The sequence below is a fragment of the Homo sapiens genome, chromosome 3 (assembly GCF_000001405.40).
Source record: "Homo sapiens chromosome 3, GRCh38.p14 Primary Assembly".
NCBI classification, from domain to species: Eukaryota; Metazoa; Chordata; class Mammalia; order Primates; family Hominidae; genus Homo; species Homo sapiens.
In genome coordinates, this window is record NC_000003.12 from 12,623,790 (window position 1) to 12,642,248 (window position 18,459).

At 42.4% G+C, this 18,459-nt stretch overlaps 1 protein-coding gene and 1 non-coding gene across 15 annotated transcripts in view; one reads left to right on the forward strand and one right to left on the reverse strand.

The window, feature by feature from the left end:
* RAF1 (Raf-1 proto-oncogene, serine/threonine kinase) overlaps positions 1–18,459 on the reverse strand; it is an 80,517-nt gene that overhangs the window by 40,189 nt on the left and 21,869 nt on the right. For 3 of the 14 annotated variants that reach the window (NM_001354691.3, XM_047448651.1, XM_011533974.3), the window contains exon 2: positions 2,538–2,630. The exons of the other annotated variants lie outside the window; for them this stretch is intronic. The gene's annotated coding sequence lies outside the window, so the exon portion shown is untranslated. The remainder of the gene's footprint in view (positions 1–2,537; positions 2,631–18,459) is intronic. 14 annotated transcript variants of the gene reach the window in all.
* Positions 8,945–9,045, forward strand: LOC124906355 (small nucleolar RNA U13). Its single transcript, XR_007096323.1, has one exon. It is a non-coding gene; the product is annotated as a small nucleolar RNA U13 (small nucleolar RNA).

Consider the following 18,459-nt stretch of genomic DNA (forward strand, 5'->3'; position numbering starts at 1 on the left):
TCTGTCTCAAAAAAAAAAAAAAAAAAAAAAGAGGCAGGCTAAGTTAATGTTTCCTAACCCTTTTCTTTTTTCTTTTTTTTTTTTTGAGACAGTCTTGCTCTGTTGCCCAGGCTGGAATGCAGTGGCGCGATCTTGGCTCACTGCAACCTCTGCCTCCCAGGTTCAAGAAATTCTCCCGCTGCAGCCTTCCAAGTAGCTGGGATTACAGGCATGTACCACCACACCTGGCTAATTTTTGTATTTTTAGTAGAGACAGGGTTTCTCCATGTTTGCCAGGCTGGTATTGAACTCCTGACCTCAGGTGATCCACCCGCCTCAGCCTCCCAAGTGTTGGGATTACAGGTGTGAGCCACTGCACCCGGCCTTCCTAACCATTTTCATGGCACATACTCATACAAACGATAGGTCATATTTGCAGAACATGCTGAAATACGCAGACAATGCTGCTTCAAGGGCCCTACAAGTTGTCTCAGGGAAGAGAGGTACAACTCTAACCTGTTAATCACAGAAAATTCTACTAAGGTATTCCTTTATCAACGCAAACATCTGAAAAATCAGGGCAGACATCTGAAAACAAGGAGGAAAAAGCATCTTCTAAAAAAATCATACAGCAGCAACATACTTCAATCTTAAATGGAGATAATCAGAAACCCTGTTGATACTACCTTCAAATATAAGCATAGATCTAGCTTTTAATACTGTAATTTCTCTGACTAAAGGCCCCATGTTAAAAAATGTATATACAGACACACATACACACACATCCTAGACACACACTAAAACTAGATAAGCCAAAGTGAAAATCAGCTTCTGCATGTGAAAGGTCTTTTAAAGTTCCACAGATAAGTTCTAAAATCAAATGCAGTCTCTTATGAATGGAGAAATTTGTCATGTTGGAAAAGATCAATCATTTAAAAAGAGAGACATGTTGGCCGGGCACAGTGGATCACCCCTGTAATCCCAGCACTTTGGGAGACCAAGGTGGATGGATCACCTGAGGTCAGGAGAATTGCTTGAACCCAGGAGGTGGAGGCTGCAGTGAGCCGAGATTGCGCCACTGCACTCCAGCCTGAGCAACAAAGCAAGACTCCAACTCAAAAAAAAAAAAAAAAACAAAAACAAAAACAAGGAGCTCCTAAAAATTAGTAAAAGATGAACAATGCCATTGCAAAAAAAACAGGAAATTAAATTCACAGAAAAGCAATACAAAGGCCAACAAACATATATGTTTATATATAAAGTAGGGAAACACAAATATAAAAACTATTTTTTATCAATTTGTAAAATTTATTTTATTTTTATTTATTTTTTTGAGGCGGAATCTCACTCTGTTGCCCAGGCTGGAGTGCAGTGGCGCAATCTCTGCTCATTGCAGCCTCCACCTTCTGGGTTCAAGTGATTCTCCTGTCTCAGTCTCCCAAGTAGCTGGGATCACAGGCATGCGCCACTATGTCTGGCTAATTTTGTGTTTTTAGTGGAGATGGGGTTTAATCATGTTGCCCAGGCTGGTCTTGAACTCCCAACCTCAGGTGATCCACCCACCTCAGCCTCCCAAAGTGCTGGGATTACAGCCATGAGCTACTGTGCCCAGACAGATTTGTAAAATTAAAAAGGCAAAACATCTAGCACAAGCATTTGAAGTATTCTACTCTCACAGTGAAGAGTATAAACCACAGAAGTACAGCAATCTAATAGTATCTATTAACTGTTTAAAGATTTAACTTCACATTTCACACCCAGCACTACACAAACACAGGAATGTTTCTAATACCAATAAACTGAAAATTACCTCAGACTCAAAGCCACAGAACTAAAATTGGAACAATTTAAGGCAGGACTGGTTTAAAAACAAGACCTCCCAGGAAAGAATACTGCCCCCAGTACATTAGCTGAAGGTCTAAGTGAAAGAATATTTACCCCCAGCTACTTAAGAGGCTACTCAGGATTTCCTGAGGCCAGGAGTTCGAGGCTGTAGTGCATGACTGCACCTGTGAAGAGCCACTGAAGTCCACCTGGGCAACACAGTGAGATCACTTCACACACACACGAGTCATTTTCCATAATTTAAGAATAAGGTCAGTGTCACCTGTCACCAATACCAATACAATTTAATACTTCCAAGTACTATATGCGTAGTATAATATCGAAAGTAAACCATACTGCAGGAAATAGATAAGCATTAAAAAAAAAAGTAGGCCGGGCGCAGTGGCTCACGCCTGTAATCCCAGCACTTTGGGAGGCTGAGACAGGCAGATCACCTGAGGTCAGGAGTTTGAGACCAGCCTGGCTAACATAGTGAAACCCTATTTCTACTAAAAATACAAAAAATTAGCCAAGCGTGGTGGTGCGCGCCTGTAATCCCAGCAATCCCAGCTACTCAAGAGGTGGAGGTTGCAGTGAGCCAAGATAGCGCCATTGCACTCCAGCTTGAGCAACATGAGCAAAACTCTGTCTCAAAAAAAAAAAAAAAAAGTAAACCAAACATTAAAAAAAAAATTTTTTTTAATTGTTCATGGGCTGGGCACCGTGGCTCTCACCTGCAAATCCCAGGACTCTGGAAGGCTGAGATGGGAGGACTACTTGAGCCCAGGAGTTTAACACCAGCTCTGGGAAACATACCAAGACCCCGTCTGTACAAAAAAATTTCAAAAATTAGCTGAGTGTCATGGCATGCACCTGTAGACCCAGCTACTTGGGAGACTGAGGTGGGAGGATCACTTGAGCAAAGGAGGTCGAAGCTGCAGTGTGCCACGATCACACAACTGCACTCCAGCCAAAGCGACAGACCGAGACCTTGTCTAAAAAAAAAAAAGGCATTTAAAAAAAGAATATTGTTAAGTATGTAATTTGATGATACTTTGGTAACAAAAAGTTTATATGGAAACTAATTGTAAAATCACATTTCTGCTCAATGATAAAGTTTTTTTTGTTGTTGTTTTTTAAAGATAACTTCGCCAGGCGGGGTGGCTCACGCCTGTAATCCCAGCACTTTGGGAGGCTGAGGCAGGTGAATTACCTGAGGTCAGGAGTTCGAGATCAGCCTGACCAACATGGTGAAACCCCATCCCTACTAAAAATGCAAAAATTAGCCAGGGTTGGTGCTGCACGCCTGTAGTCCCAGCTACTCAGGAGGCTGAGGCAGGAGAATCGCTTGAACCCAGGAGGCAGAGGTTATAGTCAGCCAAAACTGTGCCATTGCACTCCAGCCTGGGTGACAGCGAGACTCTGTCTCAAAAAAAAAAAAAAAAAAGAAAAGAAAAAACTCTTCATATATACAAAATAGTAGTAAAAACTTTTATTACCACGAAAGTTCCCAGGCTTTAAACATTTATTTGGTAAGACAGTCTGGGAACTTGTATTCTATAGGCAAACATTTACCTTTCACATGCCAGAGAAGACATAGTGTATTCATAATTTATCATGATATCTAAACCATACAAATTATTTCAGAAGCCTACAATTTACTTAATACAAATTATTCTAGTCTAGTACAGAAATTAGGTTTACCTGGTTCCAAGCTACTTCTCTCTGGATTCCTGACTTCCCCTGGTCACCCCTACCAATCATCACAGAATGCTTCAAAAATCAAAAGGCCTAGATTCTACTCTGTTTTGCCTTCCTCTACTTTGGCTACTATTCCGTTAAAAAATTACTACATGGGCCTAACCCCAAAATCAGTCTCTGAAAGATACCAGGGGACGTTTTAGGATAGAAAAAAAGGGATGACTCATAATTGCCAGTTATCTTAGCTTTCTGTAGTCACCTACTCTATATCTATCAATCATGAATTTATATAAACTTCTCTACAACTATTTTTTCTGGTCGACATTATTTCTGAGGGTGGTAGGTTCCCTAGGTTCACCAAAAAAAAATTGCCTTTTATTAGCTTCATGCATCATTCTGCCACCTGGACTTTGAGGATATATTTGCTTTAAAATCAAGCAATTCATGACTGTTATGGTGTAAATTCTTCAAAGCCGTATCTTTCTATAATCTCTCAACTGCATTTATTCCCTATGTGAATATTTCTTTTAGAAAGTTAGAGTGTGGCCAGGCACACTGGCTCACGCCTGTAATCCTAGCACTATGGGAGGCCGAAGCAGGTGGATAACCTGAGGTCAGGAGGTTGAGACCCGCCTGGCCCACATGGCAAAATCCCGTCTCTACTAAAAATACAAAAATTAGCCGGGTGTGATGGCATGTGCCTGTAATCCCAGCTACTCGGGAGGCTGAGGCAGGATAATCGCTTGAACCTGGGAGGCAGAGGTTGTAGTGAGCTACTGCACTTCATTCAGCCTGGGCAACAAGAGTGAAACTCCGTCTCAAAAATTAAAATGTTAGAGTGTAAAACTATTTCTACATTCAAGTTATAAAATGGGCTTACAGCCTGGCCAGGTGCGGTAGTTCATGCCTGTAATCCCTGCACTTCGGGAGACCGAGGTACGAAGATCACTTAGGCCCAGGAGTTTGAGACCAGCCTGGGCTAATCCCTGCACTTTGGGAGACCAAGGTAGGAAGATCACTTAAGCCCAGGAGTTTGAGACCAGCCTTGGCAATAGTGAGACCTCATCTCTACAAAATCTAAAAACTAGCCGGGTGTGGTGGCATGCACCTGTAGCCCCAACTACTTGGGAGGCTGAAGCTGGAAGATCACTTGATCCCAGGAATTCAATACCAGCCTGGACAACACAGTTAGACACCTACTCTACAAAAAAAAGTTTTTAAAAAGTCATTTTTCCTACTTCATGTAACTCAACTCTACTAGTTTTCATGTATTTCATTATCGTGTTAATAAGAAAAAAATCTCAGTATATTATACTATCATTCTTTTCTCAGGCACTGTAAGTTATTTTGTGACCTTATTTATCATTCAAATTTCTACTTTAAAGTAGAAGATACTTTAATGGATACACTGGCAGTAACTTCTATTCATATAAGTATGATGAACCTGAGACTATTTTTGGGGGGGGGGGGTGGCGGGGCACATGGTCTCACTCTGTTGGCCAGGCTAGAGGGCAGTGGTGCAATCTTGGCTGACTGCAACCTCTGTTTCCCACATTCAAGTGATCCTCCCCCTTCAGCCTCCTAGGTAGCTAGGACTGCAGGTGTGAGCCACCATGCTGGCTAATTTTTGTATATTTAGTAGAGATAGGGTTTTACCATGTTGGCCAGGCTGGTCTCAAACTCCTGACCTCAAGTGATTCACCAGCTTGTCTTCAGCTGGGATTATAGGCATGAGCTACCACACCCAGCCAGTTCACTAATTTTTAAATATCATGACAGTTGTATCATAATTCCTATGGATCATTTTAAATCAACTGACCCATAGAAGTCAACCAAAAATGCAAAACCAACGAAACAATGGTAGTTGTAGAATCCACATGTTAAATATTAAAATTTATGTAAATAATTACAAAAAGTTGGCTATTGTTTAAGATGTAATATAAAATTAGAACCACAAGCAAGTGTCCATGAAAAAACACAAACACTTGACAAAGCTTGTTTGGCTATCTGAACAAAAACAATAAGTGTTTGCTCTCTATTTTGGTACTCGCTAAAACTCACTAGGCAACAAGATATATCCACCAAAAAATAAATTTCTTAAAACTCTGTACCAACTAAGCAGCAGCAACAATAATGATATTAGCTAATGTATTAGCTAATACAGAATGCTTATTATGTATCAGTTCTTTACATACAATATCCCTTTTAATCCTCCCAACAACCCCCTATAAGAGAAATTATCATTTTAGAGTGAGGAATCTATGGACCATAAAGGTTAAGTAAAAATGTCCAAGGTTACATGGTATTCAGAATATTCACAAATCTCACCAGGGTTTCATCACACCATCACATATGTTAAGATCCGTGCATTCATGGGAGAGGCGGTTCCTAAGATGAGGTGACAGATTTCAACCTTGTGGCAGCCTACTCTGGCTTCCTGGTATCTGGCTCTTTCCTCTACTCTGATAATCTGTTTCTAATTATACTTTTATTTGTTTATTTTTCTAAGGCATGACCGGTCTGGGTCTGTTGCCCAGGTTGGAGTGCAGTGGCATGATCATGGCTCACTGCAGCCTTGAGCCACGTTCAAGCAATCCTCCTGCCTCAGCTTCCTGATTAGCTGGGACTACAGGTGCACACCACTGAGTCCAGCTAATTTTTTATTTTCTGTAGAGACGAAGTCTCACTATCTTGCCCAGGCTGGTGTTGAACTCCTGGCCTCAAGTGACCCTCCCACCTCAGCCTCCCCAAAGTGCTAGGATTATAGGCGTAAGCCACTACACCTGGCCTAATTATATTTTTACTTACAATAAAACAAAAACTAAATTTGGGAAGGAGGATAAAGGGGAAGTTACTCACAATTTTACTAATCCTAACACATTTTTTTGGGTATCATCTTCTAATATTAGAGGCACAATAAATAACTATCAGTTCAAAATCTACCTCCACCTTTTATTAGCTGTATGGCCTGGCCTTTCACCAAATTGCTTACCTTTCCCATATACCAATTTTCGTCACTTATTCATGCAATAAACATTACTGAGTGCCTACTATGTACCAGGCACTGTTCAAGATGCTTGGGCTACCTCAGGGAACAAAACACAAGGATCCATGATCATAAGAGAAGCCTATCTTCTGCTGGAGGCATTCACAGTAAATTCCATGATAGTGGGTGATAAGTGCTGGGGAAAGGGAGGCAGACTGCAATTACATAGTGAGGTCACAGTAGGTCTCAACGAAGAGGTAACTGCTGAGACCTGGAAATCAGTGAGTCTGACTTGCAGATAACTGAGAGAACAACATTCCAGGCAGAAAGAACAGCCAGTGAAAATCCTTTGTACAAGGAATGGTAAAAAGATCATAGACTTGAGTACAATGTAGGGGAGCAGGGACAATGTGGGTAACATAATGCCTTGTAGGTTATTAAAAGGACTTTTTGCCTTTTACTGAGTGAAGTGGGAAGCCACTGAAAGGTCTTGAGCAGAGGAAAGGCACAAAAGGCACAATCTACCTTAGATTTTTTCTTTTGGAGACAGGGTCTCACTTTGTCACCCAGAGGGAGTGCAGTGGCACGATCTCTGCTCACTGCAACCTCTGCTTCCTGGGTTCAAGCGATTCTCCCACCTCAGCCTCCTGAGTAGCTGGGACTACAGGCACGTGCCACCACGCCTGACTAATTTTTGTATTTTTTTGGTAGAGATGGGGTTTCACTGTGTTGGCCAGGCTTAAATCTTAAAAGGATTGTTCCAGGCTCACTAACTCATGCCTCTAACCCCAGCACTTTGAGAGGTCAAGGTGGGCGGATGAGCCCAAGAGTTCGAGACCAGTCTGAGCAACATGGCAAAACTCAGTCTCTACAAAAAAATTTAAAAACTGGCCAGGCGTGGTGGCTCACTATATTAAAAATAAATGACATAGGCAGTTAGATATAGAATTATGAAGTTCAGAAGATGTCTGGGCAGAAGAACTGTAAAATAAAGATATTATTTATCTAATTGAGTTGTTACTAAATGGTTCAATAGTGGCCAGGCGCAGTGGCTCACGCCTGTAATCCCAGCACTTTGGGAGACCAAGGCAGGCGGATCAAGAGGTCAGGAGATCAAGACCATCCTGGCTAACATGGTGAAACCCTGTCTCTACTAAAAATACGAAAAAATTAGCCGGGCGTGGTGGCGGGCGCCTGTAGCCCCAGCTTCTCGGAAGGCTGAAGCAGGAGAATGGCATGAACCCGGGAGGCGGAGCTTGCAGTGAGCCGAGATCGCGCCACTGCACTCCAGCCTAGGCGACACAGTGAGACTCCATCTCAAAAACAAAACAAAACAAAACACAATTGTTCAGTAGTGTTTGTAAAGCACTTAGCATTGCACCTAACACAGAGTAAACGATACTGTTATAGCTTCTATCCCACAGAAGAACACCCACCACAGGAGATGAGAGAGGGTGGAAATTCAGCTCATGCTTCACTTGCTAGGCCATGTGTCTAGTATACAGACAGCATAAGCATGAAGGATGGGGATCCTTCTAATTCACATGTAGAAGTTTTCCTGCTAGCTGAGCTACATCTCTGCAGAGGTACATCTGTTCAAAATTGACCTTTTTCTATTTAGTAATGGTGACTTTGGGGCTGTGGCCCTAATCCTTTTCCACATACCCATGTACTTTTACACAATTACACTCTCAATCCAAATACTGTATCACAATATTCTCCTTCAAATTTAATTTTAAATGTTTGATAATAAATTATTTAATTTTGGCAGGGCACAGTGGCTCACGCCTGTAATCTCAGCAGTTTGGGAGGCCAAGGCAGGGGGATCATGAGGTCAGTAGTTCGAGACCAGCCTGGCCCATGGTGAAACCCTGTCTCTACTAAAAATACAGAAATTAGCTGGACACAGTGGCGCATGCCTGTAGTCCCAGCTACTCGGGAGGCTGAGGCAGGTGAATTGTTTGAACCCGGGAGGCAGAGGTTGCAGTGAGCCGAGATTGCACCGTTGCACTCCAGCCTGGGCAACAAGGGCAAAACTCCGTCTCAAAAAAAAAAAAAAAAAGAGTAGGCTTGGGTGAATTGTCAAAATAAACTTATTTTCTGAAGCAATGGATCACTGTCTGTTTTTTTCTGATCTTTTGGGGCAGGGAGAAGTAGGTTTAACCTGGAAAAGGAGGGTTGTGCTACTACTTCATCTTTCTTAAGTGACAAAGCCTTCTAAAAGTTTAGAGAAGGTAAAGATACAGATTGATAAAGGCAACCAACAACAGTGGGTATAATCTTTCTAAGAATTCCACATTAGTCAGCTTTCCATCAGCAACTTAAAAGAAAGAGACTATTTTCTATTTTTTATACCCCTTTGACAAAAAGTAGAATTCAACAACCTAGTTCCCGAAGAGCTCTCTGAAACTCTTCTGAAATTCTTGAAACTCTCTAAAACTCAGTCCCAGGCTGATCCTTTTGTAGTTTATAAGCATGATTGAGTTTTCACACTCATGTGTGAGATGTGCCTTCTTCAAACCTTGTAATGACATGGACACATTACCCATCTGACGTGAAGAGGAAAAAACAAAAAAAAGTAGTCCCAGGCTTATATTCCTGGAGAAGGTAAATTAGAGGATCTCTTGACTGGAGGATTCCAGACCCAGTTGAGAGTATGAATACTGTTCTGCAAACTACACTTACTGAATCCTTGACTGCAGAAACCCCTTTTCCCCAGTGGGGCAACCAAACTCAAAGAAACTAAAATCTTTAGTTTCCCTTACCTTACAATAAAGCTCAAAGACAACAAATCTCATCCATGCACCCAAAGATTCCAATTTGTTTTTAATCTTATCTTTTAAAAAAATAAAGAGGTTGCAAAGGAATATCAGGCTTTTTAGGAAACCCTCGAATATGGATGATAAAGACCAAAACACACAGAGAAAAAAACCCACAATGGCCTGTAATCCAGCACTTTGGGAGGGTGAGGCAGGAGGATCACTTGAACCCAGGAGTTCAAGACCAGCCTGGACAACACAGTAAGACCCTCATCTCTACAAAAAATTATAAAAATTATTCCAACACAGTGGCGAACGCCTGTACTCCCAGGTATAGGCTGAGGTGGGAGGATCACTTGAGCTCAGGAGGTCGAGGCTGCCAAGAGCTGTGATTGTGTTGTGCCACCACACTCCAGCTTGGGCAACAGAGGGAGACCCTGTCTGGAAATTAAAAAAAAAAAAAAGAAAGGAAAAGAAAAAAGAAAAAAATCCACAATGAAAGAACTTGAACTATCAGATTAAAATAGCCTATCGAATGCCTAACACGTTAAATATCACAATAATGGAGGACCAGATTCTATAAACTTTTACAGTTAAAAAAAAAAAAAAAATACAGGCCCAGCGCAGTGGCTCACGCCTGTAATCCCAGCACTTTGGGAAGCCGAGGCGGGCGGATCATGAGGTCAAGAGTTCAAGACCAGCCTGGCCAACATGGTGAAACCCTGTCTCTACTAAAAAATACAAAAATTAGCTGGGTGTGGTGGTGCGCACCTGTAATCTCAGCTACTTGGGAGGCTGAGGCAGGAGAATCCCTTGAACCCAGGAGGCAGAGATTGCAGTGAGCCAAGATTGTGCCATTGCACTCCAGCCAGGGCAACAAGAGTAAAAACTCTCTCAAAAAAAAAAAAAAAAACAAAAAAAATCAGGAATCCGAATGACTTCAAACTCTTCAACAACACTAGAAGACATAATGGAGCAAAGCCTCCTAGATTCTGAAGGAAAACTATCTCCAATTTACAATAATCAGCAAAACTATCAGTGAGGGACAGAACTAGAGAGATATTTTCTGACATTCATGATTACAAAAATTTGAACCTCCATGATTCCTTTCTCTCTTTTTTTTTTTTTGAGATGAGTCTTGCTCTATCACCCATGCTGGAGTGCAGTGGCATGACCTTGCTCACTGCAGCCTCCGCCTCCCAGGTTCAAGCGATTCTCCTGCCTCAGCCTCCCGAGTAGCTGGGACTACAAGCACACACTACCACGCCTGGCTAATTTTTTTTTTTTTTTTTAGTAGAGATGGCGTTTCGCCATGTTGGCCAGGCTGGTCTCAAACTCCTGATCTCAGGTGATCCACCCGCCTCGGCCTCCCAAAATGCTGGGATTACGGGCTTGAGCCACCGCGCCTGGCCCGTAATTCCTTTCTCAAGGGATTTGTTACAGGAATATAGCAAGAGAAAGACTTAGGATATAGGAAACGGGACATCCAGCATAGGAAAGAAGCGAAGGAAATCTCCAGAAGGCCAATGGAGGGAAATCCCTGGGTGACAACTGTGCACCGGATACAAGAATCCACAATTATGTGACCCCTTCTAGCAATTTCCAACTATCATCTACATAATGGCCTTTTTTTCTTGAGAGTGCCAGGGAGGGAGGAAGGGAGGAAAGTGGTTGGAGGAAGAGCAGAGAGAGGGAAGGAGTAACAGAGAAGGGAAGGAAATAGCCCATATTTTCAAAGTTAGCCCCTTTAAGTATATCCTCTCCCCTTTGGAGGAGGTGAATGGTAAAACCTGTGCTAGGTCTTCAGATACTCCAGGTAGCTGAACAACATTAATAAAATAGTATAGCACCACAGTGTTTCCCAAAGCAGGGGATATATACTATTCATGGTTTACAAAATGATTATAAGAGATATGTATACAAGATATAAACTAAAACTGATATAAGGAAAAAGTCTCAGTTAGGTGCTAGTATATGTTTAATACTTCTTTAAGACTTTCTACTAGGGCAGCCACGATGGCTCACACTTGTAATCCCAGCACTATGGGAAGCCAAGGTGGGTGAATTGCATGAGCTCATGAGTTCAAGACCAGCCTGGGCAATATGATGAAATCCTGTCTCTGTTAAAAATACAAAAATTAGCTGGGCTGTGCACCTGTAATCCCAGCTACTCAGGAGGCTGACGCAGGAGAATTGCTTGAAACCGGGAGGCGGAGGTTGCAGTAAACCGGGATCTTGCCACTGTACTCCAGCCTGGGTGACAGAGGGAGACCCTGTCTCAAAAAAAAAAAAAAAAAAAAAAAAAAAAAAAAAAAAGGCCAGGGGCCATGGCTCACACCTGCAATCCCAACACTTCAGGAGGCCGAGGTGGGCGGATCATGTAAGGTCAGGAGTTCGAGACCAGCCTAGCCAACATGGTGAAACCCCACCTCTACTAAAAATACAAAATTAGCCCGGTGTGGTGGAACACATCTGTAATCCCAGCTACTTGGGAGGCTGAGACAGGAGAATCCCTTGAATCTGGGAAGCAGAGGTTGCAGTGAGCCGAGATCGTGCCATTGCACTCCAGCCTGGGCAAAAAGAGTGAAACTCCAGCTCCAAAAAAAAAAAAAAAAAAAAAAAGAGAGAGAGAGATTACTTTATAAATTTATTAGGCTGGGCGCGGTGGCTCACGCCTGTAATCCCAGCACTTTGGGAGGCCAAGGTGGGCGGATCACAAGGTCAGGAGATTGAGACCATCCTGGCTAACACGGTGAAACCCCATCTCTACTAAAAATACAAAAAATTAGCCAGGCGTGGTGGCAGGCACCTGTAGTCCCAGCTACTCAGGAGGCTGAGGCAGGAGAATGGCGTGAACCCATGAGGTAGAGCTTGCAGTGAGCCGAGATCGCGCCACTGCACTCCAGCCTGGGCGAAAGTGCGAGACTCCACCTCAAAAAAAAAAACATTAATAATGTTGTTTTTAGGCCAGGCGTGGTGGCTCATGTCTGCAATCCCAGCACTTTGGGAGGCCGAGGTGAGTGGATCACTTGAGGTCAGGGGTTCCAGACCAGCCTGGCCAGTGTGGTGAAACCCCGTCTCTACCAAAAATACAAAAATTAGCTGGGCATTGTGGTGGGCACCTGTAATCCCAGCTACTTGGGAAGCTGAGGCAGGAGAATCCCTTGAACCCGGGAGGCAGAGGTTGCAGTGAGCTGAGACTGCGACACTGCACTCCAGCCTGGGTGACAGAGCGAGACTCCATTTCAAAAAAACAAAAAAAAAAACAGCTGGGTTTGGTGGTACATACCACCAAGCTACTTGGGAGGCTGAGAAATGAGAATCACTTGAGGCCATGGTGGAAGAATCGCTTAAGCCCAGTAGTTCAAGACCAGCCTGGGCAACATAACAAGACTGTATATCTTTAAAAAAAAAAAAACTGATTGATTACATTAAAATGCAGTAAGCATGGTTGCTCAAAAAAAAAAAGGGACATTTGCTACACTGGCTAGGTGTGGTGGCTCATGCCTGTAATCCCAGCACTTTGGAAGGCTGAGATGAGGAAGACTACTTGGGTCCAGAAGTTCAAGACCAGCCTGGGCAACATGGCGAAACCCCTTCTCTACAAAAAATACAAAAATTAGCCAGGCATGGTGGCTTGCACCTGTAGTCCCAGCTACCTGGGCGGCTGAGAGGGGAGAATCACTTGAGCCTGGGAGGTGGAGGCTGCTGTGAGCTAAGATCATGCCACTGCACTCCAGCCTGGGTAACAGAGCAAGACCTTGTCTCAAAAAAAAAAGAAAGAAAGAAAAAATATTTGCTACATCAATGAACAGCAGCGGCAACAACAGTTTCATTACATACTACATACCCTGGAGACTATACTGAACACTTTTGGTTTAGTAGATAAAAGAACAGGTACTGAGTTTGAAATCCAGCTTCACTACTTGGGCAACTCCATGGATCTAGGGTAAAGATAATAATGGTACAAACTTCACTGAATTGCAGTGAAGAATGAATAAGATAGTGTATATAAAGTACCTAATTTAGAGTCCGGCATATAAAAAACATTCTAAGTTAGCAAAAATTGTGTACCTCCGCTAGTAAAACAAATTCTTCAAGTGAAAAGCTGAACTCGCTCAATTTTTAAGTGTATTATACTCACTAGTAAACCTGGGAACTAGATTATCACCTAGGAACTAGGGTATCGGGTTAACTTCAATCTTTCAACTTCTGAGAACTTCAGTGAATTCACGAACTTCCAGAAACTGAATACAGAGTATTGTATATATGCATATGTACATCTTTGTAGGTCTTGCTTCTATTAACATTTTTTTTTTGAGACGGAGTTTCGCTCTTTTGCCCAGCCTCCCCAGTAGCGGGGACTACAGCACATGCCACCACACCTGGCTAATTTTTGTATTTTCAGTAGAGACAGGGTTTCGACACGTTGACCAGGCTGTTCTGGAACTCCTGACCTCAGGTGATCCACCCGCCTCCATCTCTATTAACATTTGAAAGCAATCTGTCCTCTATGGAGCACAGTCATTGTGTTCTTAAAACACAAATGGAGGCCGGGCACAGTGGCTCGCAGGAGGCTGAGGTGGATGGATTACCTGAGGTCAGGGAGTTCGAGACCAGCCTGGCCAATGTGGTGAAACCCTGTCTCTACTAAAGATACAAAAATCAGCCAGGTGTAGTGGCACACACCTGAAATCCCAGCTACTCGGAAGGCTGAGGCAGGAAAAGCGCTTGAACCCGAGAGGCAGAGGTTGCAGTGAGCCGAAATTGCACTACTCCACTCCAGCCTGGGCGATAGAGCAAGACTGTCTCAAAACAAAACAAAAAACACAAATTTGGACATATTATTAAATACCCTTTATCTATTATTTATTTCACTCAAATTAGCACTCGAATTCTTTAACTGTGACCTACAAGACCTTTCATGATGGCCTGGCCCGTTACCCATCAAACAGGACCTCCCCTGACCACCCTGGTTCAAGTGTATCCTACCCTTCCCCATCATTCTTCTCTTTACTCAGCTTTTTGGTTTTCATAATAATTTATCACCATTTGAAATAATATTAGGTATTTGCCTACTCAATGATTATTGACTGCCTATACCACTAGGTAGTATGCTCTAAGAAGCTAAGTTCAGTTCACCCTTATAACCCACTGCCTTTAAGTATCTAGCATTTGGCAGGCTCTTAAGAGTTATTTACTGAATGAGTAACATATGGCATCTGGGCTATCTGGCAAGTGGTGAGTTCTAACAAAAGTTATCAGTGCAGTCGTTTATGAACCACATTATGCCAAGAGACTATACTCAGAACTAGAACACTGACAACTGTGGAAAAACTGTAGAATCAGCATGGAGTAATTGTTGACTGGCAGTCAGCTAAGGAGCAGCCAGGATAATGATTGGCTGGCAGTCAGTCATCTAACAGTTCATCAAACAAGTCCCAAACAGACCAGCTGATAATAATACCCAATTAAAGCTACTATAGAATTCTACGTCAGAGGTATTTCCAAAGTTTGATTCACTACTATTGTTTGGCATTCCCTTCACAGTTGTTTTATATTACAAATAAAACCAAATACATTCTTGTTCATCTGTTCTGTCACAGTAAACGGTAAATATTTTCTACCTACTCACACATCCGATTTGTCTTAAATGTACACTGCTGAAAATAAAGGGGACTTTTAAACTACAGGGCTCCTGCTCAAGAAATGTAAAAATGGGCATGGTGGCTCATGCCTGTAATCCCAACACTTTGGGAGGCTGAGATGGGCGGATCACCTGAAGTCAGGAGTTCGAGACCAACCTGGCCAACACGGCCTAAAAATACAAAAAAAGAAATGTAAAAATGTGTTTTTAAACATACATAAGGTCATGTAGAATGCAAAAGAATGTACAGGAACATGATGGATTACGTTTATTGATTTGCATATGTTGAACCAGCCTTGCATCCCAGGGATGAAGCCAACTTGATCACGGTGGATAAGCTTTTGATGTGCTGCTGGATCAAGCTGCCTTCATCCTGGGATGCAAGGCTGGTTCAACATACATAATCCATCATATAAACAGAACCAAAATCAAAACTACGTGATTATCTCAATAGATGCAGAAAAGGCCTTCAACAAAATTCAACAGCCCTTCATGCTAAAAACTCTCAATAAACCAGGTATTGATGGGACGTATCTCAAAATAATAAGAGCTATTTATGACAAACCCACAGCCAATATCATACTGAATGGGCAAAAACTGGAAGCATTCCCTTTGAAAACTGGCACCAGATAGGGATGCCCTCTCTCACCACTCCTATTTAACATAGTGTCGGAAGTTCTGGCCAGAGCAATCAGGCAAGAGAAAGAAATAAAGGGTATTCAATTAGGAAAAGAGGAAGTCAAATTGTCCCTGTTTGCAGATGACATGATTGTATATTTAGAAAACCTCATCGTCTCAGCCCAAAATCTCCTTAAGCTGACAGGCAACTTCAGCAAAGTCTCAGGATACAAAATCAATGTGCAAAAATCCCAAGCATTCCTATACACCAATAACAGACAAACAGAGAGCCAAATCATGAGTGAACTCTCATTCACAATTGCTTCAAAGAGAATAAAATACCTAGGAATCCGACTTACAAGGGATGTGAAGGACCTCTTCAAGGAGAACTACAAACCACTGCTCAACAAAATAAAAGAGGACACAAATGGAAGAACATTCCATGCTCATGGGTAGGAAGAATCAATATCGTGAAAATGGCCATACTGCCCAAGGTAATTTATAGATTCAGTGCCATCCCCATCAAGCTACCAATGACTTTCTTCACAGAATTGGAAAAAACTACTTTAAAGTTCATATGGAACCAAAAAAGAGCCTGCATTGCCAAGACAATCCTAAGCAAAAAGAACAAAGCTGGAGGCATCATGCTACCTGACTTCAAACTATACTACAAGGCTACAGTAACCAAAACAGCATGGTACTGGTACCAAAACAGAGATAGAGACCAATGGAACAGAACAGAGCCGCCAGAAATAATACCACACATCTACAACTATCTGATCTTTGACAAACCTGAGAAAAACAAGAAATGGGGAAAGGATTCCCTATTTAATAAATGGTGCTGGGAAAACTGGCTAGCCATATGTAGAAACTGAAACTGGATCCCTTCCTTACATCTTATACAAAAATTAATTTAAGATGGATTAAAGACTTAAATGTTAGACCTAAAACCATAAAAACCCTACAAGAAAACCTAGGCAATACCATTCAGGACATAGGCATGGGCAAGGACTTCATGACTAAAACACCGAAAGCAAGGGCAACAAAAGCCCAAATTGACAAATGGGATCTAATTAAACTAAAGAGCTTCTGCACAGCAAAAGAAACTACCATCACAGTGAACACGCAACCTACAGAATGGGAGAAAATTTTTGCAATCTACCCATCTGACAAAGGGCTAATATCTAGCATCTACAAAGAACTTAAACAAATTTACAAGAAAAAAATCAAACAACCCCATCAAAAAGTGGGCAAAGGATATGAACAGACACTTCTCAAAAGACATTCATGCAGACAACAGACACATGAAAAAATGCTCATCACTGGCCATCAGAGAAATGCAAATCAAAACCACAATGACATACCATCTCACACCAGTTAGAATGACGATCATTAAAAAGTCAGGAAACAACAGGTGCTGGAGAGGATGTGGAGAAATAGAACACTTTTACACTGTTGGTGGGACTGTAAACTAGTTCAACCATTGTGGAAGTCAGTGTGGCGATTCCTCAAGGATCTAGAACTAGAAATACCATTTGACCCAGCCATCTCATTACTGGGCATATATCCAAAGGCTTATAAATCATGCTGCTATAAAGACACATGCACACATATGTTTATTGTGGTACTATTCACAATAGCAAAGACCTGGAACCAACCCAAATGTCCATCAATGACAGACTGGATTAAGAAAATGTGGCACATATACACCACGGAATACTATGCAGCCATAAAAAAGGATGAGTTCGTGTCCTTTGTAGGGACATGGATAAACCTGGAAACCATCATTCTGAGCAAACTATTGCAAGGACAGAAAACCAAACGCCGCATATTCTCACACATAGGTGGGAATTGAACAATGAGAACACTTGGACACAGGGTGGGGAACATCACACACCGGGGCCTGTCATGGGGTGGGGGGAGGGAGGAGGGATAGCATTAGGAGATACACCTAAAGTGAACAATGAGTTAACTAGTTAACTGGTGCAGCACACCAACATGGCACATGTATACATATGTAACAAACCTGCACATTGTGCACATGTACTCTAGAACTTAAAGTATTAAAAAAAAAAGAATGTACAGAAAGATTTCAGATATGGAGAAAAAATAGTTCCACTTACAGGAAATATAACAATTTCCAAATATTTGGTGGACATGTCCCCCCCAAAAAAAAATGTTTTTTGGTTTTTTTTTTTTTTTTTTTGAAACAGGGTCTCGCTCTGTCACCCAGGCTAAAGTGTAGTGCCGCGATCTCAGCTCATTACAACCTCTGCCTCCCAGGTTCAAGGGATCCTCCCACCTCAGCCTCCCAAGCAGTTGGGACCACAGGCATGTGCCACCATATCCGGCTAATTTTTGCTTTTTTCATAGAGACAGGGTTTCACCATGTTGCACAAGTTGGTCTTGAACTCCTGAGCTCAAGTGAGCTACCTGCTTTGGCCTCCCAAAGTGCTGGGATTACACATGTGAACCACCGTACCCGGCCCCAAAAATGCTTTCTTAAGTGTAACTACGTAATGCTAGTTGTAGTTTAGATTCCTGGATGTTAACTTAAAATAGTCCCATAGGAACCCAGTGTGGTGGCTCACGCCTGTAATCCCAGCCTGAGGCAGGTGGATCATCTGAGGTCAGGAGTTCGAGACCAGCTGGGCCAACATGGTGAAACCCTGTCTCTACTAAAAACACAAAAAAATTAGCTGGGCATAGTGGCAGGCACCTGTAATTTCAGCTTCTCGGGACGCTGAGGCAGAAGAATTGCTTGAACCCAGGAGGCAGTGGTTGCAGTGAGCCCAGATCGTGCCATTGCACTCCAGCCTGGGCAACAAGAGCAAAACTCTGTCTCAAAAAAATCAATTAATTTAGGCTGGGCGCAGTGGCTCATGCCTGTAAATCCCAGCACTTTGAGAGGCTGAAGCGGGTGGATCATGAGGTCAAGAGATCGA